The following is a 24,423-nucleotide window of genomic DNA, read 5'->3' as shown; positions in this document are numbered from 1 at the left end:
CGTGGTCCTGAGTGGGTCCTGCCCAGAGATGACAATTCACTGTCTGGTTCCTCCAGGTCCCACCTTCAGGAGCCCCAGACCCTCAATGGGGCATCCACCGAGCCCCTGATCTTTGCCAAGGCCTGTGCTAGGTGCCAGGTGAACAGTGAGTAGGATATAGGTCTCAAGAAGCTCACACACTAATAGGAAGACAGATGCTTAATGAAGAAATGACAATAGCCTGTGATAAGCACCTGCTCCAGAATGGACATGCCTCCTGGGGGCCATAGCCTCCAAACAGGGCTAGTTTTGGGGGTTTGCAACCTATACAGTTTTTAAAGGGCCTCATGTTCGACTTAATGCTCTGCTGTAACTATTTTGAAATTCTAAATAACTTTTGAAAAGGGGGCTTAGAATTTTATTTTATTTTTATTTTTTATTGACTTGTTTATTTTTGAGACAATGTCTCACTCTGTTGTCCAGGCTGGAGTACAGTGGCATGATCACAGCTCACTGCAGCCTTGACCTCCTGGGCTCGAGCAATCCTCCCCACTCAGCCTACGAGTAGCTGGTACTACAGGCATGCAACACCATGCCTGGCTAATTTTTTATTGTTTAGAGAGATGAGATCTCTCTAAAAAATAAAATATTTAAAAAAATTTATGTTGCCCAGGCTGGTCCCGATCACCTGGGCTCAAGCAGTCCTCCCACCTCAGCATCCCAAAGTGCTGGCATTACAGGCACGAACCACTGTACGCGGCCCAGGGCTTAGCACTTTAATTTCATACTGGAGCCCACAAATTATGTAGCCAGTCCTATACCTAGACCTGAAAATGAGTAAAAGCTAGCCAGCAAAAGAGAGAAAGAAGAGGAGGGGAGAGGGAGAGAACTAGCAGCCCAATTCTGTAGAATGCATGCACCTGCAGGGGCTGCTGTGGCTGCACCAAGGACAACTAAGTTGTTGTGTGTTAATCACCTGTCATGGAATCCATGTGACTTCAGACTGCTGCGTGATCAGACAGCACGCATCCTGTCTATGTGTGATGATGTGAGTTACATCTGAAAAATCATCAGGCCTGGGTGCACATTTGTACACCTTCACTTACCTGGCTGCATGGCTTTGAATGATTCCACCTCTCTGAGCTTCTGATCCCTCATCTGTAAAATGGACATGATACCTCGCTCAGAGCTTCTCTGACAGTCAAAGAGGCTCATGTAGGGGAAAGTGCCTTGTGAACACTAAGCTTATATTTGTGCTACTCCCAGACAGGAGGAATGTAAAATGAGCAGCTTTAGTAGGTACAATGGGGCAGCCAACAGCCTAGTCTCCTCACAACAGACTGCATCTAGGAAGAATGTCATTAGGGAAAACATCCTGACATGCTGTGTTAGGGGCAAGGTGAGATTCTAAAGACAAGGCTAAAAGAGAGACAGCAGAACAATTCTGTTAGAAAAAGAACTAGAAGTTTGGGGTTAGAAGGAGAGAAAAATGAAAGGAGTGGGTGATAAATAACAGGACAGTGTGGCTAAAAAGCTTTTAAGAATAGGGATGTCAGCCAGGTGCGGTGGCTCATGCCTGTAACCCCAGCACTTTGGGAGGCTGAGGCGGGTGAATCACCTGAGGTCAGGAGTTCGCAACTAGCCTGGCGAACATGATGAAACCCCGTATCTACTAAAAATACAAAAAATTAGCCAGGCATGGTGGCACACGCCTGTAACCCCAGCTACTCAGGAGGCTGAGGTATGAGAATCACTTGAACCTGGGAGGTGGAGGTTGCAGTGAGTCGAGATTGCACCATTGCACTCCAGCCTGGGCAACAAGAGCAAAATTCCTTTTCAAAAAAAAAAGAATAGGGATGTTGAATATTTGATTTTAAGTCATTTGTGTTGCATGAAGTAAAAGCCTCTGTCTTCCCTTTATTTCACTCCCTCCTGCAAAATGTCCCTAAACCTTTGGTTACATTTACTATACAAGTAAAAGCTTTGTGAGTTTTAGTGGAAATAAAGAAAAACAGCAAATTCTATGTTTAGGTAGAGACCAGAGTAAGGATAAAAGAAGCAGCAGCCACAAGATGCAGAGGGAAAAATATGTTCTCTGGCCAAGCGCGGTGGCTCACACCTGTAATCCCAGCACTTTGGGAGGCCAAGGCGGGTGGATCACTTGAGGTCAGAAGTATGAGACCAGCCTGGCCAACATGGTGAAACCCCATCTCTACAAAAATGCAAAAATTAGCTGGGCATGGTGGCACGCACCTGTAGTCCCAGCAACTCTGGAGGCTGATGCAGGAGGATCACTTGAACCCGGGAGACGGAGGTTGCAGTGAGCCAGGATTGCACCACTGCACTCCAGCCTGGGCAACAGAGTATACATATATATACATATATACGACATATATGACGTATATATGTGTATACTATGTTATATATAATGTATATATGTTAGATATATGTTATATAATGTATATATGTTATATATTATATATGATAAATATGATATGTTTCATATATTTTATATATATATATACTCTTTGCATCAGTGGGAATTTGGAGCAAGAGGTGACCATGAGCCCATAAGCTCTCCCAAAATTCACAGAAGCATTGAAGAAGCACTGGTCTTTTCCAGAGCCAAGTATGGAGGGAATAGAAAGTTAGGATTAATCACATCTAGATCTCACAGGGCATAGTCACCCTTACTTTCCATCTAAGTTACATAAGCAATAGGAAACATGTCATCCCATAGAGCCATAAATCTCAAACATCCTGAATACAACAGTAGAAATACTAGAAAATAAGACCAGCAATAAAATGGTCAACTGGATGGCAAAACAATCTCCACACTCAAAGCTTTAGGAATGACATGACATAGGAGAAGCTGCCAGCCTGGAGGCTCTGGCAGTGTTGAAGTGCTATTAGCTCGGCCATCTTTGTTCTCCAAGGTTGTGGCTGTTCTTGGCTACCCTAGTCCACCACGTCTGTAACTGGAGAAGTCTGGTACTATTGTGAAGTTAGGGTTTTTGTGAGAGAGAAGATACATCTGATTTCTCTCCATCTGAATTCCAATGGAAAAGACCCAAAACAGTGTTTCTCAAACATGAAAAAAAAATAGAGAGGGCCAGGCATGGTGGCTCACACCTGCAATCCCAGCACTCTGGGAGGCCCAGGAGGGAGGATTTCTTGAGGCCAGGAGTTCAAGACCAGCATGGGAACACAGTGAGACTGTCTCTACAAAAAAACATTTTTAATTATCTGGGCTTGGTGGCATGCCTGTAGTCCTAGCTACTTGGGAGGCAGAGGTAGGAAGATTGCTTGAGCCCAGGAGTTCAAGGTTGCAGTAAGTTATGATTGTGCCCCTGTACTGCAGCCTGGGCCACAAAGTGAGACCAGGTCAAAAGAAAGAAGGAAGTAAGGAAAAAAAGAAAGAGAGAAGGAAGAGAGACAGGAAGGAAGGAAAGAGGAAGGAAGGAAGGGAAGGAGAGAGAGAGAAAGAAAGGAAGGAAAGAAAAAAGGAAAGAAAGAAGGAAGGAAGGAAAAGAAAGAGAAGAAAGAAAAGAGACATATGGACACCTTTTTAGTGTTGAGTTAAATTGTTTTTATAAAGAAAGTTACTGCAGTGAGCTCTGATTGCACCACTACACTCCAGCTTGAGCAAAAGAGTGAGACCCTGTTGAAAGAAAGCGGAAAGAGAGAGAGACATATGGACACCTTTTCAAACTGTGTTGACTTAAATTATGAAATGTGCTCAAACCAGATATAAGCTTAGGCTTACAGCATTCATATAAAATCCAAACAAAATAGCAAAGCCAATAAAAATCATGTTAACAACATGGATGGAATGGGATAGATGAGGTTTTGCCGAAAAATAAGTGGCAGCTCACCACACGAGCACAGCTCTGACTGCTGCCGGGCATGTTCCTGTGACTTCAGCCAGCCTGGTGTGATGGCTCAATTATCACACTGCTTTTCTTTATTTAAACTTCTGTGAAAACTTCATTTATTCAGCATGCTGCAATATCACTGGGCTGTCCCTGGACTCTAACATATCACTTCCCTATTAAGGCCACCTTTGTTTGTTTTCTCTCATGAGCCATTGACAATAGTGGGGCCATCTGATAATACACACAATTGGAGTCGTGATTGAGTGCAGATGCCCATTAAGCCCCAGGCTAAGTGCTTTGCAAGCATAATCTCATTTAGCTCTCACAGGGACCCCAGCGCAGAACCGATCATTACCACCCTTCTGCAGCTAAAGGCACTCAGGCACAGCGGGTGAGTGCTGTCCTGGGTCACACAGCTGGGATGTGGAGTGAGTCACAATTTGAACACAGCAGCCCGATCCAGAGTAGACCACCTTTACCACTTCTTTAAACCCTAGTCACAATTAGCCGGATTCAGATGACCCAGGATATGCTTTTTTTAAAGATTATCTTGAAATAAAAATCCCTCTTGTTTTCAGTTTATAGAAGATTTGCAGACCCCCAAGATTCACCAAGGGCATCATCTGAGGCTCTAGGCCCCAGTCTGAGAGCCTCTGGCCCAGGCAATGTGACCATGAGCAAGCCAGTGGCTCAGAGCAACGCTGGGAGATACACTCCAGGCCCCTGGGCTCCTCAGGTTGACTCATAAACCAGCCCCTGGGAGATTCTGGGCCTCAGGGACACCTGGTTTTGAGGGCAAGGGAGCCTGGGGGAGCAGGGGCAGCTCCATGTTGAGCAACAGTGACAGTGGCAATGATGATGGCAGTACCAGAGCTCCTGGGCGGCTATGACAACAGACACCTGCCATGGCTGTGGTGGCCACAGCTCTGAAGGCACCAGCCCCTCGATGGGAGTGGAGGTGGAGGTGGGGAGTTGGTCAAAACTAACTGAAGAGGTAGGGCGACCTCCACATCAGGAAGGATGCCGATTCACTCAGGGCTAGAGGCTGGCAGCTCTGCCACAGCAGAGAAGAACCTATGCAGACACAAAATCCTATGCCCAAGTTGCCCATTGACTAGATGCCCCCATCCCAGATCTTCACCCTGGGCCACTCAACCAGGCCTCCAGGATCTAGCAGAAGGACTCTGCCAGCATCTCAGGGCAGGGGAGGCAAGATGGAAGGTGTTCACCCCATCTGCAAAGAAAAGCCAGTTCTGAGTTTTTTCTGTGAAATAAGAGATTACAGACAAACGACGAGAAAATGGACTGAGAAGAAAAAAGGGAAGAAAGTGGGGAGGGAAGAAAGGAGGAGGGAGGGAGGGAAAGTTTTGAGATTGGAGTAGTGTCAGAAACCTGCACATTCAACTCCTCTCTCTTTAATTCTTGCTACAATGGCCCAACCAATCAGAGCAAATCCATATCCTCTTCCATAAAGATTATTCTATCTAGATGGTCTCTGAAAATTAGAGAAAGTGTCCCACGCACATCTCTAAAAGCTCAAGTCATTTCCACCGCTCAGGTAAAGGGTGGAGGGAGGAGAAGCAGCTGCAGGCCACCATCTTCTCACTAAGCGTGGAGAAGACCACCTGGGGTTAATTCAAACTCAGTAGTGCAAAAGCCAAGTAGTCTTGGATTTGATTTTAGAGCTTCCATTCTGAGTTCAAAGGACCTTCAGATGTGGGCCGGTATCTCCATGCAGGAGCTGCTGGAAGTCATAATTTCACAGGACTTCTGCAGAACCAGCGCTCCAGCATCCACTTTCTCTCACAAGTCACCCCCACCACAGGGAAGAAGAGGAGGCAAGTGAGAGCAGAATTCATGAGCAGCAGCCATCTCTTCTCATCCCATGGGGGAGCCGGGAAGGCTTAAATAAGTTCCCCTCCCTCCATAAGATCGGGGGTAGCTTAAGTATTCCTCCAGACCCTTTCCCCTTCACCAAGTAAGGGACTGGCAATGCCTTTCATCTGAAAACTTCAGCGCCATTGAACTGCCCAATGCCCAGGCCAGTGTTGCTGGCAGGTCGAGAGAGGGCTGAGCGGAAGAGAGGAAGACTAGGGTAGCCAGTGGCATTCCCACAGGGTGGCTTGGCAAGGAGATGTGGGTTTTCCATGGGTTGTGTGGGCACTGAGGAAGGTTGGGAGAATTTCATCATCCTAAGAGGCTGAGGAAAAAAGTAGATGGATGAAGTTCAGTCAGAACTTGCTCACCAGAGGATTGTGTCAGAAGGACCCACTGGAAAGCCAGCACTCAGACACCTGCCTGGCAGAGGAACAGACAGCCAGATAGGAACAAAAGAAGTGATGCCAGCAGAAAGAAGACTGTAACCTCACGCAAGGAGTCACAGAAAGCAGTGTTCTGATACCTCTCCCCTCTCTTGCCTCCTTTCCCTGATATCTCAGAGAAAATAGAGAATGGGAGAGCAAACCTCATCACCTCCCTCCCTGCCCCAAGTCACAGAAACCTCAAGTGCCTGCCTGGGAAGAGTGCACTTTTTTTTTTTTTTTAAACATCCAGAGACTCTTTACTTTTTGTGGCTTTATTGAGATAGAATCCACATACCACACAATTCACCCTTGTAAAGGGTGCAATTCAGCCAGGCATGGTGGCTCACACCTATAATCCCAATGCTTTGGGAGGCCAAGACAGGAGGATCCCTTGAGCCCAGGAGTTTGAGACCAGCCTGGACAGCATAAGGGGACTCCATCTCTACACAAAATTTAAAAATTAGCCCGGCGTGGGGGATGCACGCCTGTAGTCCCAGCTACTCAGGAAGCTGAGGCAGGAGGATCACTTGAGCCCAGGAGTTTGAGGTTATAGTGAGCATGATTTTGCCACTACAACAGACTGAGATCCTAAAAAAATAAAATAAAATGAATTAAAGTATACAATTCAAATTTTTTAGTATATTCACAGATTCATACAATCATCTCCACAATCTAACTTTGGAACATTTTCATCACTCCAAGAAGAGTTAGCTGACAGTCCCTATTTCTCCCCAAGTTCCCCCAGCCTAAGCAACCACGAAATCTACTTTCTGTCTCTGTAAGTTTGGACATTTCACATAAATGGAACTTGCAATATGTGGTTCTTTGTGATGGGCTTCTTTTACTTAAGATAATGGGTTCAAAATTCATGTGTTATCAATATGAATGCAAGATAATGCATTCATATTGCAGCATGGATCAGGACTGCCTCAACTTTTATTGCCGAATATAGTCTATAGTATGTGTATACATTTTACTTTATGCAATTATTATCCATGTTATCAGTTAGCAAACATTTGAGTTGTTTCTACTTTTGGACTATTATGAATAATGATATTATGAACACTCAAGTTTTTGTGTGGACATAATGTCTTTGTTTTTCTTGGGGATATAACTAGGAGTGGAATTGCTGGGTTGTATGGTAACTCTAGTTTTAACTGTTTGAGGAACTGCCAGATTTTTCCACTGCAGCTACAACATTTTACATTCTCATCAGCATGTATGAGGGTTCCAATTTCTCCTTATGCTTACCAACATTTGTTATTATCTATTTTTAAAAAAAAATTCATAGCCATCCTGGTAGATGTGAAGTATCTCATTGTGGTTTTCGTTTGCATTTCCCTGATGGCTAAAGATATTGAGCATCTTTTCATGTACTTATTGGCCATTGACATATCTTCTTTGCAAAAATGTCTGTTCAGAGCCTTTGCCTTTTATTTATTTATTTCTGGAACGGGGCCTCACTTTGTCGCCCAGGCTGGAATGCAGTGGTGTGATAACAACGGCTCACTGCACCCTAGAATTCCTGGGGCTTAAAGGAATCCTCCCACTTCAAATTCCCGAGTAGCTAGGACTGCAAGCGCAAGCCACCACTCCCTAATTTTTTTAGTTTTGTAGAGACAGAGCCTCCCTATGTTGCCCAGCTAGTCTCCAATTCCTGGGTTCCAAGCAATCCTCCCACCTCAGCCTCCCAACGTGCTGGGATTATAGGCATGAGCCACTGCACCCGGCGCCATTTTTAAGTTGAATAATTTGAATTCTTCCTATTGAGATGTAAGAGTTTGTTATGTATTCTAGATACAAGTTTCTTATTTGATCCACGATTTGCAAATATTTTCTTCCATTCAATGGGTTATCTTTTCATGTTATTGAGGGTGTTCTTTAAAGCATAAAAGTTTTTAATTTTGATGAAGTCTTACTTTTTTCTTTTATTGCTTATGCTTTTGCTGTCATATCTAAGCTCAAATCACAAATACTTCTGTTTTTCTTCTGAAAGTTTTTTAGTTTTAGCTCTTACATTTACAATCCATTTGAGTTAATTTTTGGGTAAGGTATGCGTAAGGAGTGCAACTTCATTCTTCTGCATGTGGGTAGCCAATTATCCTAGCACCATTAATTGAAAAGATAATTCTTTCCTCCACTGAATTGTCTTAGCATCCTTGTGGAAAATCAATTGACTATAAATGCAAGGGTTTATTTCTGGATTCTTAGTTCTATTCCATTGATCTAGATGTCTATCATTTTGTCCAGTGATTCTTAGTAACTGAACATGAAGGGAGAAGCCTGAGATATTATTAAGGGAAGCTACAAGTGGGAAAGAAGGTTCCACAGAGTCCAACTGGTCACTGGGAAAAAGTCCATCATTTCGCATTTGTGCCTCAAAGAGTTAAGACTCCTCCAACCACTTCTAGTGAAGGAACATTCCCAACCCGTATCATGTCTGCTTTTCCAAATGGGGTACATGGAATGATCCATTTCCCTTAGCTGCTATCATAAATGAGTGTTGCATTTTCATAAACTATTTTTCAGCACTGATTGTGATTATTCTCTTTTAATCTGTTAATCTGGTGAATTACATTATTAGATTTGCTAATAGTAGATATATTTGATGCTTACATTTCTAGGGTAAACCTAACTAGGTCATTTTTTATTTAATACATTACTAAAGTATGCCATTATTTTGTTTAGGATTTTTGCATCTAAAATCATGAATAAATTTGATGCTTTATTTTTTCTTTTTCATTCTGGCTTTGGAATCAAGGTCATCACTAGCCTCGTAAAATGATTTGAGGGGATGTTGCCTCTTTTTCTAATCTCTGAAAGGGTTTGTATAAAATTAGAATTGTCAGTTTGTTTGTTTTTAATTGAGATGGGGTCTCACTATGTTGCCCAAGTTGGTCTTGAACTCCTGGCCTCAAACGATCCTCCTGTCCCGGCTTCCCAAAATGCTGGGATTACAGGTGTGAGCCACCATGCCTGGCCTAGAGTTGTCAGTTCTTTGAACGTTTAGCAGAATTGTTTTGTAGGTTGATTTTAATCTACTAATTCAGTTTCTTCAACTGTTACAGATTTGGTTTTCTTTTTCTGTGCAAGTGAGTTTTATAAGTTTTATTTTCCTAGAAACATGTCTATTTCATGGAAGCTTTCAAACTATTAGCATAAAGTTGTTTGTAGTACTTATTTTTTTAATCTGTTGCATTTGTAATTATGTCCCTTTTTCATACGTTATATTGCTATGCATCCTTTTTCTGACTTAACTAAAGTTACAAGGTTGTATTTTATTCTTCTATTGAAAAAATACAAGTTTGGGTTTGGTTGAGCATCTCTACTGTGTTTTTCTATATGATTTCATTAATGTGTGCTCTTATCTTTATTATCTTCTTGTACTTTGTTTTCTTTGCTACTTAAATTATGGTCATTTGTTTGTGGGCATGACATCATTATCTATTAAAATATAAGTGGGTATGTTAGTCCATTCTGTCAGGCCTGTGCGCCCAAGCTAAGGCATCATATCCCCTGTGACCTGCACATATACATCCAGATGGCCTGAAGTAACTGAAGAATCACAAAAGAAGTGAAAATGGCCTGCTCCTGCCTTAACTGATGACATTACCTTGTGAAATTCCTTCTCCTGGCTCATCCTGGCTCAAAAGCTCCCCAACTGAGCACCTTGTGTCCCCCGCCCCTGCCCGCCAGAGAACAACCCCCTTTGACTGTAATTTCCACTACCTACCCAAATCCTATAAAACGGCCCCACCCCTATCTCCCTTCACTGACTCTCTTTTCGGACTCAGCCCGCCTGCACCCAGGTAATTAAAAAGCTTTATTGCTCACACAAAGCCTGTTTGGTGGTCTCTTCACACGGATGCGCGTGAAACATTCCTGCTGCTATAACAAAATATCTTAGACTGGGTAATTATGATTAACAAAAATTTATTCCCCACAGTTCTGGAGGCTGGGAAGTCAGTCCACTGATGAAGGCCCTTTCAGTGTCAAGGGAGGATTTGCCCTCTGCTTCCAAAATGGTGCCTTATTGGTGAGTCCTTACGTAGCAGATGGCAGAAGAACAAAAGGGACTGGGTGCCCTCTTCAACCTCTTCTGTAAGAGCGCTAATCCCATTCATGAGGGCAGTGTGCTCATGATTAATCACTTCCCCAAAGGCTCCATCTCTTAATACTATCACATTGGGTATTGTTTCCAATGTAATGAATTGCGGAGGGACACATACATTCAAATCATAGCAGTGGGCATTCTCTTAGGCCCAACGATTCCACTTTAGTTCTATATTCTATATTAATATTAGAAAATATCTAAAAAGATATATGTATAATGTTGGAGGTCAGTTGCAGTGACTTATGCCTGTAATCCCAGAACTTTAGGAGGCCGAGGGAGGAGGATTGCTTGAGTCCAGAAGTTCAAGACAAGACCAGCCTGGGCAACATAGTGAGACCTCGGCTATTTTTTTTTTTTTAAAGATGGGCTTTGCAACATTATTTATAACTAGAAACAATTAGAAATAACCTGAATGTGAAGATACAGTCATACTATGTGTCAGGCCTCTGAGCCCAAGCTAAGCCATCATATCCCCTGTGACCTGCACGTACACATCCAGATGGCCGGTTCCTGCCTTAACTGATGACATTCCACCACAAAAGAAGTGAAAATGGCCTATTCCTGCCTTAACTGATGACATTGTCTTGTGAAATTCCTTCTCCTGGCTCATCCTGGCTCAAAAGCTCCCCCACTGAGTACCTTGTGACCTCCACTCCTGCCCGCCAGAGTACAACCCCCCTTTGACTGTAATTTTACTTTACCTACCCAAATATTATAAAACGGCCCCACCCCATCTCCCTGCACTGACTCTTTTCGGACTCAGCCCGCCTGCACCCAGGTGAAATAAACAGCTTTATTGCTCACACAAAGCCTGTTTGGTGGTCTCTTCACACGGAAGCGAGTGAAACTATGGAATACCGTTCAGCTGTTAAAAGGAATAAGGCAAATCTAATATCTATTGACTTGAAAAGAGCTCCATGAGATAATATTAAGGGGGAGGGGGTGCAATGAAGAAAAATAGGTAAAGAATGACAATATTTTTGTTTTAAAAATTGCATATGGTCACATATTTATATCCCTATATGTAGTCCCACTGGATGCAGTCATAGCCATTTAGCCCTAAGGAGCCACTGCTAATTCCATCCAGAGGTAAGATCCTTCAAAGCTGGGGAAGCCTCATCTCCAAGCATATAGGTGCTCCCTACCTCCATAGACAGCCTCCAACCATAACCTCAGGGCATCACTTCCACCCCTTACAAGTCCTAAGACTGGTTTAGGTGAGAAGTTCTGAGAGGACAGGGTGGGGAGAGGGGTTGGGGGCTCTGCAGGCCTTGGGAACCATAATGACATTCCCAACCCACGTCTTCTCCCACCCTTTCAAGGTCATTGGTTGTGAGTTATTCATACTTCTCCCTTCCTCAGGGAGGCTTGATTCTGCCCAACCTTCCTTGTGCTCCCCAAAAGTGCCTGACACCCATTGCTGGCTTCCCAGACAGCCAATCTGATTGACTTCTTCCTCTTCCCGGGGGGGCTTCTGTATCTCTTTGTGGCCCTCAGAGTATCCGAGGTCCCAGGTTAAACACAAATGCAGCATCTGTAAAAAACCCCATGCGTCAGCTTGAAGCAAATGCCTTTCCCAGTAAAATTGTTCTACTTTTCCACATAGCTTTGCAAGAGTGATATTTTTCCTCTCCCCATTCCCTAATTACCCCAAAATATGTGCCAAAGGGGGAAGACGTGACTTGGCAGGGCAGATGTCCCCATTGCTTAGCATCTCAGAGAAGAAATTTACAAGATGTCTGCCTTTGTTTGCCCTGCCATCACACCTCCAGTTCTGACCATGAGGTTTCTGAAGGAGCACTTCTAGAGGTGAGGAACTGGATAGTGACAAGTTGAAGCCTAGAAACTATGTCATGGGCGACACAGTTTAAGGAAGACTTGGGGGTAGTGGGAAAGTATGGCATGACAACTGTTAATTACTTCCTAGGGAAGCCATCATATATAAAACAGGCTGTCTGGCCAGGCGCGGTGGCTCACGCCTGTAATCCCAGCACTTTGGGAGGCCTAGACGGGCTGCTCACGAGGTCAGAAGTTTGAGACCAGCCTGACCAACATGGTGAAACCCTGTCTCTAACAAAAATACAAAAATTAGCCAGGTGTGGTGGTGCATGCCTGTAATCCCAGTTACTCAGGAGGCTGAGGCAGGAGAATTGCTTGAACCTGGGAGACGGAGGTTGTAGTGAGCCAAGGTCGTGCCACTGCACTCCAGGCTGGGTGGCAGAGCAAGACTTCATCTCAAAAAAATAAAACAGGCTGTTTTACTCTTCAGTTCTCCAAAGGATCAAAGGAGGACAAACTGCAGCAAATTCCAAACAGACAACATCAACTCAGTAAACATAACCATTTACATAATAGAATGCAGAGCCTGGTGAAGAAGGGACCAGCCCATCACAGGAAGTGTTCCAACAGGGATACTGGAGAGGGAATGCCTGCAGCGGGTGAGAGGTTGAAATGGATAGGCCCAAAGACCCATGTTGCAGAGGTTGCAAATTGATGACACGCATGTCATTTGAAGGAAACAGATGTTTATACTAGTTCAATGTTTGCCTACAAAGTGTTTTTGTGCTTCTTCTTAGTATTATCATTATATAAATAAAACCTGCATTTCAAGGTTCTCTTGTAAAACGTAACAGAGCTGAGAGCCTCCTTTATATGGGATATGTTCTTCAGTTCACACAGCCTCCGCCACCGCCTATTAATACCCAGCGTCCAAGTATCAATTGACATTTGTTATTCTGCCTGCACTGTAGAGCTTTTTTTTCCCTTACACTCAGCCCACTTAACTCATACATATTATTACCTGTATTCTCTGTGTAGGCATTTGAGTGAGTGGCTTTTGTTGCATTCTGGGGTGTCAACCTTCATTTGAAATAGTGATACAGAGCAGTGTTCACACTTCTCCCTCTCGCCCTGTGCCTTCTGTCATTGTGATCTGCCCTGAGATTTGTAGCACGTGTGAACAGCACAGGAGGTCAACAAAAGGCACAGCTCTGCAGCAAGAGCCCCAGGAACTCAACAGAAATGAGCAACGCAGCTCCTTGAGCTTGCCATTGGCAGATCATGAAGCCACACCACCTCTTCTGGCCAATGGCCATTATACATTTTGAAAGGGACATTATTTCTTGTTGAAGGAACATTACTATCTAGTTGACTCCTATCTAAGAGAGCACAGTCTCCTGTTACTTAATGAAACCAGCAACAGGCAGAATATGCACCAGACAGAAAAACTAGCTTGTCTGCTGTTCTGGAATAAAAATAGAGTTTGAACTAGCCTGGAATAAAAATAAGAGTTTGAACCACAACCTGAATCAAAGGAATGTTGGGAGTTTCCTATTAGCTCAAAGCAAAGGTTCCTAGAATTCATAATAATATTGTTAAAATGGTCTGTTCCTAACTTAACTGATGATATTATCTTGTGGAATTCCTTCTCCTGGCTCATCCTGGCTCAAAAACTCCCCTACTGAGCACCTTGTGACCCTCATTCCTGCCCGCCAGAGAACAACCCCCCTTTTTTCCTTTACCTACCCAAATCCTATAAAACGGCCCACCCCTATCTCCCTTCGCTGGCTCTCTTTTCGGACTCAGCCCACCTGCACCCAGGTGAAATAAACAGCCTTGTTGCTCACACAAAGCCTGTTTGGTGGTCTCTTCACACAGACACACATGAAATTTGGTGCCATGACTCGGATCGGGGGACCTCCCTTGGGATATCAATCCCCTGTCCCCCCTTGAGAAAGATCCACCTATGACCTTGGGTCCTCAGACCGACCAGCCCAAGGAACATCTCACCAATTTCAAATACAGTAAGCGGCCTGTTTTTACTTTCTTCTCCAACCTCTCTCACGATCCCTCAACCTCTTTCTCCTTTCAATCTTGGTGCCACACTTCAATCTCCCTTCTCTTAATTTCAATTCCTTTCATTTTCTGGTAGAGACAAAGGAGACACATTTTATCCGTGGACCCAAAACTCCAGCACCGGTCACGGACTCAGGAAGGCAGCCTTCCCTTGGTGTTTAATCATTGCAAGGACAGCTCTCTGATTATTCACCCACGTTCCACTGGTGTCTGATCTCTGCGGGGACACCTGCCTTGATCATTCACCCACATTCCCTTGGTGGCGAGTCAATTGCGGGGACACCTGCCTTGATCATTCACCCACATTCCCTTGGTGGCAAGTCAATTGCGGGGACGCCTGCCTTGATCATTCACCCACATTCCCTTGGTGGCGAGTCAATTGCGGGGACGCCTGCTTTGGCTGCTCGCCCACATTGCAGCCCAGGGCTGTTCCCCACCCCCTTCTCCGTGTCTCTACCCTTCTCTTTAAACTTGCCTCCTTCACTATAGGCAACCTTCCACCCTCCATTCCTCCTTCTTCTCCCTTAGCCTGTGTTCTTAAGAACTTAAAACCTCTTCAACTCTCGCCTGACCTAAAATCTAAGCATCTTATTTTCTTCTGCAACACCGCTTGGCCCCAATAGAAACTTGACAATGGCTCCAAATAGCCAGAAAACAGCACTTTTGATTTTTCCATCCTACAAGATCGAGATGATTCTTGTCATAAAATGGGCAAATGGTCTGAGGTGCCTGACGTCCAGGCATTCTTTTACACACTGTTCCCTCCCTTCTCTCTGTTCCCAATGCGACTCGTCCCAAATCCTCCTTCTTTCCCTCCCGCCTGTCCTCTCAGTCCCAACCCCAAGCATCGCTGAGTCTTTCTAATCTTCCTTTTCTACAGACCCATCTGACCTCTCCCCTCTTCCCCAGGCTGCTCCTCGCCAGGCCGAGCCAGGTCTCAATTCTTCCTCGGCCTCTGCTCCCACACCCTATAATCCTTTTATCACCTCCCCTCCTCACACCCGGTCTGGCTTACAGTTTCATTCTGTGACTAGCCCGCCCCAACCTTCCCAGCAATTTCCTCTTAAAAAGGTGGCTGGAGCTAAAGGCACAGTCAAGGTTAATGCTCCTTTTTCTTTATCCGACCTCTCTCAAATCAGTTAGCATTCAGGCTTTTTCATCAAATATGAAAAATCCAGCCCAGTTCATGGCTCGTTCGGCAGCAACCCTGAGACGCTTTACAGCCCTAGACCCTAAAAGGTCAAAAGGCCGTCTTATTCTCAATATACATTTTATTACCCAATCCGCTCCTGACATTAAATAAAACTCCAAAAATTAAATTCCAGCCCTCAAACCCCACAACAGGACTTAATTAACCTCGCCTTTAAGGTGTACAATAATAAAGTAGAGGCAGCCAAGTAGCAACATATTTCTGAGTTGCAATTCCTTGCCTCCACTGTGAGACAAACCCCAGCCACATCTCCAGCACACAAGAACTTCCAAACACCTAAACCGCAGTGGCCAGAGTTTCCTTCAGAACCTCCTCCCCCAGGAGCTTGCTACAAGTGCCGGAAATCTGGCCACTAGGCCAAGGAATGCCCACAGCCCGGGATTCCTCCTAAGCCGTGTCCCATCTGTGCAGGACCCAACTGAAAATCGGACTGTTCAACTCACCTGGCAGCCACTCTCAGGGCCCCTAGAACTCTGGCCCAAGGCTCTCTGACTCCTTCCCAGATCTTCTCAGCTTAGCAGCTGAAGACTGACACTGCCAGATCGCCTCAAAAGCCTACAGGACCATCACAGACGCTCTGGGTAACTCTCACAGTGGAGGGTAAGTCTGTCCCCTTCTTAATCAATACAGAGGCAACCCACTCCACATTACCTTCTTTTCAAAGGCTTGTTTCCCTTGCCTCCGTAACTATTGCAGGTACTGACGGCCAGGCTTCTAAACCTCTTAAAACTCCTCAACTCTGGTGCCAACTTAGACAATACTCTTTTAAGCACTCCTTTTTAGTTATCCCCACCTGCCCTGTTCCCTTATTAGGCCGAGACACTTTAACTAAATTTAAATTATCTGCTTCCCTGACTATTCCTGGGCTACAGCCACACCTCATTGCTGCCTTTTCCCCCAGTTCAAAGCCTCCTTCACATCCTCCCCTTGTATCTCCCCACCTTAGCCCACAAGTATAGGACACCTCTACTCCCTCCTTGGCGACCGATCATGCACCCCTTACCATCCCATTAAAACCTAATCACCCTTATCCCGCTCAATGCCAATATCCCATCCCTTAGCACGCTTTAAAAGGATTAAAGTCTTATCAATCGCCTGCTACAGCATGGCCTTTTAAAGCCTATAAACTCCCCTTACAATTCCCCCATTTTACCTGTCCTAAAACCAGGCAAGGCTTACAGGTTAGTTCAGGATCTGCGTCTTATCAACCAAATTGTTTTGCCTATCCACCCCGTGGTGCCAAACCCATATACTCTCCTATGCTCAATACCTCCCTCCACAACCCATTATTCTGTTCTGGATCTCAAACATGCTTTCTTTACTATTCCTTTGCACCCTTCATCCCAGCCTCTCTTCACTTTCACTTGGACTGACCCTGACACCCATCAGGCTCAGCAAATCACCTGTGCTGTACTGCCGCAAAGCTTCACAGATAGCCCCCATTACTTCAGTCAAGCCCAAATTTCTTCCTCATCTGTTACCTATCTCGGCATAATTCTCATAAAAACACACGTGCTCTCCCTGCCGATCGTGTCCGACTGATCTCTTAAACCCCAGCACCTTCTACAAAACAACTCCTTTCCTTCCTAGGCATGGTTGGATACTTTTGACTTTAGATACCTGGTTTTGCCATCCTAACAAAACCATTATGTAAACTCACAAAAGGAAACCTAGCTGACCCCATAGATCCTAAATCCTTTCCCCACTCCTTTCTGTTCCCTGAAGACAACTTTAGAGACTGCCCCTACCCTAGATCTCCCTGAATGATCCCAACCCTTTTCATTACCCACAGCTGGAGTGCAGGGCTGTGCAGTCAGAATTCTTACACAAGAACCGGGACCGCGCCCTGTAGCCTTTTTATCCAAACAATTTGACCTTACTGTTTTGCCTAGCCCTCAAGTCTGCGTGCTGCGGCCGCCACCGCCCTAATACTTTTAGAGGCCCTTAAAATCACAAACTATGCTCAACTCACTCTCTACAGTTCTCATAACTTCCAAAATCTATTTTCTTCCTCCCACCTGACACATATACTTTCTGCTCCCCGGCTCCTTCAGCTGTACTCACTCTTTGTTGAGTCTCCCACAATTACCATTGTTCCTGGCCCAGATTTAATCCGGCCTCCCACATTATTCCTGATACCACACCTGACCCCCATGACTGTATCTCTCTGATCCACCTGACATTCACCCCATTTCCCCATATTTCCTTCTTTCCTGTTCCTCACCCTGATCACACTTGGTTTATTGATGGCAGTTCCATCAGGCCTAATCGCCACACACCAGCAAAGGCAGGCTGTGCTATAGTACAAGCCACTAGCCTGCCTCTTAGAACCTCTCATTTCCTTTCCATCGTGGAAATCTATCCTCAAGGAAATCACTTCTCAGTGTTCCGTCTGCTATTCTACAACTTCTCAGGGATTATTCAGGCCCCCTCCCTTCCCTACACATCAAGCTTAGAGATTTGCCCCCACCCAGGACTGGCAAATTGACTTTGCTCAACATGCCCTGAGTCAGGAAACTAAAATACCTCTTGGTCTAGGTAGACACTTTCACTGGATAGGTAGAGGCCTTTCCCACAGGGTCTAAGAAGACCACCACGGTCATTTCTTCCCTTCTGTCAGATATAATTCCTTGGTTTGGCCTTCCCACCTCTATACAGTCCGATAGCAGACTGGCCTTTATTAGTCAAATCAGCCAAGCATTTTTTTTCAGGCTCTTGGTATTCAGTGAAACCTTTATAATCCTTACAGTCCTCAGTCTTCAGGAAAGGTAGAATGGACTAATGGTCTTTTAAAAACACACCTCAGGCCGGGCGCGGTGGCTCACGCCTGTAATCCCAGCACTTTGGGAGGCCGAGGCGGGCGGATCACGAGGTCAGGAGATCGAGACCATCCCGGCTAAAACGGTGAAACCCCGTCTCTACTAAAAATACAAAAAATTAGCCGGGCGTAGTGGCGGGCGCCTGTAGTCCCAGCTACTTGGGAGGCTGAGGCAGGAGAATGGCATGAACCCGGGAGGCGGAGCTTGCAGTGAGCCGAGATCCCGCCACTGCACTCCAGCCTGGGCGACAGAGCGAGACTCCGTCTCAAAAAAAAAAAAAAAAAAAAAAAAAAAAAAAAAAAAAAAAACACACCTCACCAAGCTCAGCCACCAACTTAAAAAGGACTGGACAATACTTTTACCACTTTCCCCTCTCAGAATTCAGGCCTGTCCTCAGAATGCTACAAGGTACAGCCCATTTAAGTTCCTGTATAGACGCTCCTTTTTATTAGGCCCCAGTCTCATTCCAGACACCAGACCAACTTGGACTGTGCCCCAAAAAACTTGTCATCCCTACTATCTCCTGTCTAGTCATACTCCTATTCACCGTTCTCAACTACTCATACATGCCCTGCTCTTGTTTACACTGTTTCTCCAAGCCATCACAGCTGATATCTCCTGGTGCTATCCCCAAACTGCCAGTCTTAACTCTTAAAGTAAATAAATAATCTTTGCTGGCAGGACTATGCTGAATCTCCTTAGGCACTCTCTAATTAGATGTCTTAGGTCCTCCCAATTCTTAGACCTTTAATACTTGTCTTTCTCCTTCTCTTATTCCATTTAGCTTTTCAATTCATACAAAACCATATCCAGACCATCACCAATAATTCTAAATGACAAATGTTTCTTCTAACAACCCCACAATATCATCCCTTACCACAAAATCTTCCTTCAGCTTAATCTCTCCCGCTTTAGGTTCCTACACCTCCCCTAATCCCGCTCAAAGCAGCCCTGAGAAACATCGCCCATTGTCTCTCCATAACACCCCCAAAAATTTTCACCGTCCCAACATTCTACCACTATTTCATTTTATTTTTCTTATTAATATATGAAGACAGGAATGTCAGGCCTCTGAGCCCAAGCTAAGCCATCATATCCCATGACCTGCACGTACACATCCAGATGGCCGGTTCCTGCCTTAACTGATGACATTCCACCACAAAAGAAGTGAAAATGGCCTGTTCCTGCCTTAACTGATGACATTATCTTGTGAAATTCCTTCTCCTGGCTCATCCTGGCTCAAAAGCTCCCCTACTGAGCACCTTGTGACCCCCACTCCTGCCCGCCAGAGAACAACCCCCCTTTTTTCCTTTACCTACCCAAATCCTTTAAAACGGCCCCACCCCTATCTCCCTTCGCTGGCTGACTCTCTTTTCAGACTCAGCCCACCTGCACCCAGGTGAAATAAACAGCCCTGTTGCTCACACAAAGCCTGTTTGGTATGGTGGTCTCTTCACACGGACGCACATGAAAGTTAGTAGCTGACATCTGTTAAATGCTTCTTGTGCTAAACACTTGACACATTTTGTCTCACATAGTCACATAACAACACTATGGGATAGGTGCCATAATTATACAAAGAAACTCAGGCACAGAGAGGTTAACTCTAAGTTAACCTTGAGTGATGGAGTGAGTGATGGAGCCAGAATTCAAATCCAGGTGACCTGACCCAGAAACATTAGAAAATATACGAAAATACTGCCAAGATTTGATATCTAATATCCCATGGAACTTTCTTTTCTCTACCCATTAAATGACTTTGCTACATTTCTTGCCAAGCATACCAAGAACATAAAACACAGAAGTCTAGTTTTTCTTTTCTCTTGGTTATAAATTTATAAAAATCAAACTAAAAATAGCCCCCATGTTGTTTCATTCTTAAAATATACAATAACTTTAAAAGAAAGTTTCTCTGGAACTGAAGTTCCTTCTGCAGAATCTGTTTCACATTCAGAATTTCAGATGGAATATAAAATAGGAGAATGTTCAATGTCTGCAGTGTCGGGTATTTTGCTCAAGTTTCTGTACCTAAAATGCTGTGCTTGGCATGCGGAACTGAATTTCCATTATGTTCAGTGAAGCAAGATTTGACTGATGGAGAGGTCATTATTACAATGATCCTGCCAGGTAGCTTGGGGAGACCATTTTGGCCTCTGAGATCATGTTATATTATCAGGTATTCATGCAAAACCAAACCTTCTTTCTATTTCCTCTAGTTTCCAATAATCACTGTCTGAATCAATATTTATAGAAAAACTATCAGTGAGAAATCTCATTTGCAAATGACTTATAGTTTTAAGTGAACCTAATTTCTTTAAAACATATGTATTTGAAAATCCTGTGTCAAATAAACATAAATAATGCTAATAATTAATGATATTATTCAAAAAATAGATATGTGAGGAAGTATATATTTTCCTAAAAAGAAAGCTTAAAATTTTTAACACATTTTTAATAAAACTGTATAACCACATTCCTGTAAGTTATTCCTTCATTACTAAAAGAACTAAAATTATCCCATTGTAAGAGAAGAAAACATTTTGACATGGAAGACAACTCGAAATAGTTTGAAGTATAATGCTTTATTAGTGCATGTAATAAACTTATACTGAACACAAATACATGATTTTGCTGATAGAAAATCAGTTTCTCATGCCTTCACTAAATGAATGGGTTAGACAAACATTTAAAATATACTGAATTTAAGGGTGTCAAATTAGTAACCTGACTGTTTTGGGTAGACAGGGAGTAGTGCTTTGTGCCTTTTTTAAGCCCTTGACAAGAGTTTGAGAACACCAAGTACTGTGTCCCGGAGGGCAGGTCCCACAAAGGCCGCAAGATGTCGCTTTCTGACAGCCTGTTGCTTGCAGCTAATCCTACCACAGCAGAAGGCAAAGAGGGTGAGGAGGGGTGTTGACCATATTTTGATGTAATAACCAGAAGTGCATCTGTTAGGATATACAACAATTGATGCACCTAGATCAACAGAGATTCCCTTATAATATCCCTAAACTTAAAACGTAGATCTTTTTTCTTCTTCATTTTCTTTTTTCCCTGGAGCAACCCTGAGTATGTTGGTGTTGGTGCAGATGTGGGATACCGAACTAAAATTTTTCCATCATTACGTTCAGTCTTCACAGACATCTGGCAGGATGCCCTGAGGAGTATTATAATCCCTATTTTACAGATGAGAAAGCCAAGGCCCCTAAAAATTGCAATTGGCAAATGAAAATTCCAGTGGCCACGTTTCTTGACACCCAACACCCCAGCTGAGGTTTATGCACTCTGGCCCTCTCCCCAGTCCTCATAGGGAGGTGGTTGGGGGCAGGCTTTGACTATTTTGCTTTTTGGAAATTGATTTAAAATATTTTATACTAAATTGTCTGATATGAACCCATATTTATTTATGTGTATAGAGCAAGGCTTCAGATAAATTTCGTGGGTGCTCTAAGCCACTTTGGGCTATGTCTGGAATGAGTTTCCTAAGGAAGCTCACTCCATTGTTTAGGGTGTGTATTAGTTTGCTAGGGTTGCCATAACAAGGAACAGATTGGGTGGCTCAAACAACAGAAATGTATTCTCTCACACTTTGGGAGGCTAGAAGTCCAAGATCAAGATGTCAGCAGAGTTGATTTCTTCTGAAGCCCCCCTCCTTGCTTTGTAGATGTGTCTTCACATGGGCTTTCTTCTGTGTGTCTGTGTCCTAATCTCTTCTTATAAGGACTCTAATCATAAATAAATAATTTATGGACAGAATCTTGCTCTGTCGCCCAGGCTGGAGTGCAGTGGCATGATCTTGGCTCACGGTAGCCTCCGCCTCCCGGGTTCAGGCAATTCTCCTGCTTCAGCCACCCAAGTAGCTGGGATTACAGGAGTGTGCCACCCAGCTAATTTTTGTGTTTTTAGTTGAGATGCGGTTTCACCATATTGGCCAGGCTGGTCTCAAACTCCTAAACTCAAGTGATCCGCCCACCTCCGCCTCTTAAAGTACTGGGATTACAGGCGTGAGCCACCATGCCCGGCCTCAGGCTTTAACAAATGAATTTAGAGGGACACGATTCCCCCTGTAACAGGGTGGAAACATTGAGAAGCCTGCATTATCCCTTCCAACTTTTTCCTGTGAGAATGATAGAGTTCTAGTCTGTGTCCTTATATCTACAGCATCAGAGAGTTTAACATGTGTCTTTCTTTCTCTAAGAAAGCTTCCCAGTTAATCTGCTATTTGTGTGTGACTTCTTGCTTGCATTTTATGGAAGTGGAGCTGGGAGAAATGATTTCTGATCCCCATTCTTGAGGTAAGGAATTATATTCAACTTTAAAACAACTTAAATACAGGAACAGATGTATACTTATAAGTACATTTTTTTCCTTAAAAAAGAAGGAAATCCTGCCTATTTGGGACAACATGGATGAACCTAGAGGACATTATGCTAAGTGAAATGAGCCAGACACAGAAGGGCAAATGTTGTGTGATACCAGTTATGTGAGGAATCTAAAATAGTTGGACTCAGAGGAGCAGAGTAGAATGGTGGTTGCTGGGGGCTGCGGGGAGGGAGAACATGGGGAGGTGTTGGTCAAAGGATATAGTTTCAGTTATGTGGGATGAACAAGTCCTAGAGATCCACTGCACAGCATGGTGTCTAGAGTTCACAATACCATGGCGTATACTTAAAAATGTGCTGAGAGTAGATCTCATATTAAGTATCATCATGAAATAGCGATAATAATTAATAGTAACAGGAAACTTTTGGAGGTGATGTATATGTTAATGGCATTAATTGTGGTGATGGTTTCACAATTATATACTTATCTCCAAATTCATTACATACTTAAATATGTACAAATTTCTGTATATCAATCCCACCTCAATAAATTTAAAAAAAGAAAAAATAAAAAGAAACTCTGGACGAGGGATGGTGGCTCACACCTGTAATCCCAGCACTTTGGGAGGCCAAGGTATGTGGATCACTTGAGGTCTGGAGTTTGAGGCCAGCCTGGTTAACATAGTAAAACCCTGTCTCTACTAAAAATACAATTAGCCAGGTGTGGTGGCAGGTGCCTGTAATCCAAGTTACTTGGGAGGGTGAGGCAAGAGAATTGCTTGAACCTGGGAGGCAGAGGTTGCAGTGAGCCGACATCATGCCACTGCACTCCAGCCTGGGTGACAGAGTGAGACTCTGTATCCAAAAAAAAAAGAAAGAAAGAAAAGAAAAGAAACTGGCTGGGCACAGTGGCTCACATCTGTAATCCCAGCACTTTGGGAGGGTGAGGTCGGAGGATCACTTGAGCCCAGGAGTTCGAGACCAGCATGGGCAACATGGCAAAACCCTATCTCTACTAAAAATACAAAATTTAGCCAGGCGTGGTGGCAGGTGCCTGTAGTCCTAGCTACTCAGGAAGCTGAAGTGGGAGGATCACCTGAGCCTGGGAGGTCAAGGCTGTGGTGAACCATGATCATGCCACTGCACTCCAGACTGGTGACAGAGTGAGACCCTGTCTCAAAAAAATTAAATAAATAAAATAAAATAAACTTTGTACCCATTAAACAGTAATTCCCCATTCCTCCCTCCCCCAGCCTCTGGTAACCTCTATTATACTTTCTGTTTCTATGAGTTTGCCTCCTAGGTACTGCATCCATGTTGTAGCATGTGTCAGAATCTCATTATTTATAAGACTGAGTAATATCCCATTGCATATATCCTACAGTTTCACTTTATATATGTAATTATCTAATTTACCTAAACTCTATTTTGATAAATAGTGCTATGGTGTAAATGTTGGCGTCCCACTCAAAATTCATATGTTGGAACCTAAAACCCAATGTGATAGTATTAAGAGGTAGAGTCTGTAGCAGGTGATTAGGCCTTGAGAGTGGAGTGCTGATGAATGAGATTAGTGCCTTAGTAAACGAGGCTTGAGGGAGTCTGTTTGCCCGTTCCACTGCGTGAGGAGGCAGCAAGTAGGCGCCATCTTTGAAGCAGAGAGCAGTCCTCACCAGACACTGAATCTGCTGGCACCTGGACCTTACACTTCCCAGCCTCCAGAACTGTGAGCAGAGGTTTCTGTTGCTTACAGAATACCCAGCCTAATGTGTTTTGTTATAGCAGGCTGAATAGACTAAGACAGATGCTATAAGATTAATATATAAACTTAACTGAATACGTATATTTTTGTTTTTCAGAACTTTGTACTTGGCTCTATTGATGTGCCTGTCCATGTGCCAAAAACACCGAATTCTGTTGCTCCTGTAATACTATTCACTTTCTTT

General features: G+C 44.0%; 6 annotated features.

Moving 5' to 3' along the window:
* Positions 4,515–5,200: an enhancer, noted in NCBI's record as "H3K4me1 hESC enhancer chr9:101042021-101042706 (GRCh37/hg19 assembly coordinates)". NCBI's record gives its function as "activates a minimal SCP1, AML or CMV promoter by ChIP-STARR-seq in naive H9 embryonic stem cells {active_cell/tissue: H9 hESC(naive)}" and the evidence as "EXISTENCE:reporter gene assay evidence [ECO:0000049][PMID:30033119]".
* Positions 9,452–9,984: an enhancer, noted in NCBI's record as "NANOG hESC enhancer chr9:101037237-101037769 (GRCh37/hg19 assembly coordinates)". NCBI's record gives its function as "activates a minimal SCP1, AML or CMV promoter by ChIP-STARR-seq in primed H9 embryonic stem cells {active_cell/tissue: H9 hESC(primed)}" and the evidence as "EXISTENCE:reporter gene assay evidence [ECO:0000049][PMID:30033119]".
* Positions 9,985–10,519: an enhancer, noted in NCBI's record as "NANOG hESC enhancer chr9:101036702-101037236 (GRCh37/hg19 assembly coordinates)". NCBI's record gives its function as "activates a minimal SCP1, AML or CMV promoter by ChIP-STARR-seq in primed H9 embryonic stem cells {active_cell/tissue: H9 hESC(primed)}" and the evidence as "EXISTENCE:reporter gene assay evidence [ECO:0000049][PMID:30033119]".
* Positions 10,552–11,085: an enhancer, noted in NCBI's record as "OCT4-NANOG hESC enhancer chr9:101036136-101036669 (GRCh37/hg19 assembly coordinates)". NCBI's record gives its function as "activates a minimal SCP1, AML or CMV promoter by ChIP-STARR-seq in primed H9 embryonic stem cells {active_cell/tissue: H9 hESC(primed)}" and the evidence as "EXISTENCE:reporter gene assay evidence [ECO:0000049][PMID:30033119]".
* Positions 18,786–18,986: a silencer, noted in NCBI's record as "peak7303 fragment used in MPRA reporter construct". NCBI's record gives its function as "represses an SCP1 promoter by STARR-seq MPRAs in K562 erythroleukemia cells {active_cell/tissue: K562}" and the evidence as "EXISTENCE:reporter gene assay evidence [ECO:0000049][PMID:32103011]".
* Positions 20,885–20,934: an enhancer, noted in NCBI's record as "active region_28696". NCBI's record gives its function as "activates an Ori minimal core promoter by ATAC-STARR-seq in GM12878 lymphoblastoid cells {active_cell/tissue: GM12878}" and the evidence as "EXISTENCE:reporter gene assay evidence [ECO:0000049][PMID:35858748]".

This window comes from Homo sapiens, chromosome 9, assembly GCF_000001405.40.
Source record: "Homo sapiens chromosome 9, GRCh38.p14 Primary Assembly".
Lineage (NCBI taxonomy): Eukaryota > Metazoa > Chordata > Mammalia > Primates > Hominidae > Homo > Homo sapiens.
This window is presented reverse-complemented; position numbering and strand designations above follow the sequence as displayed.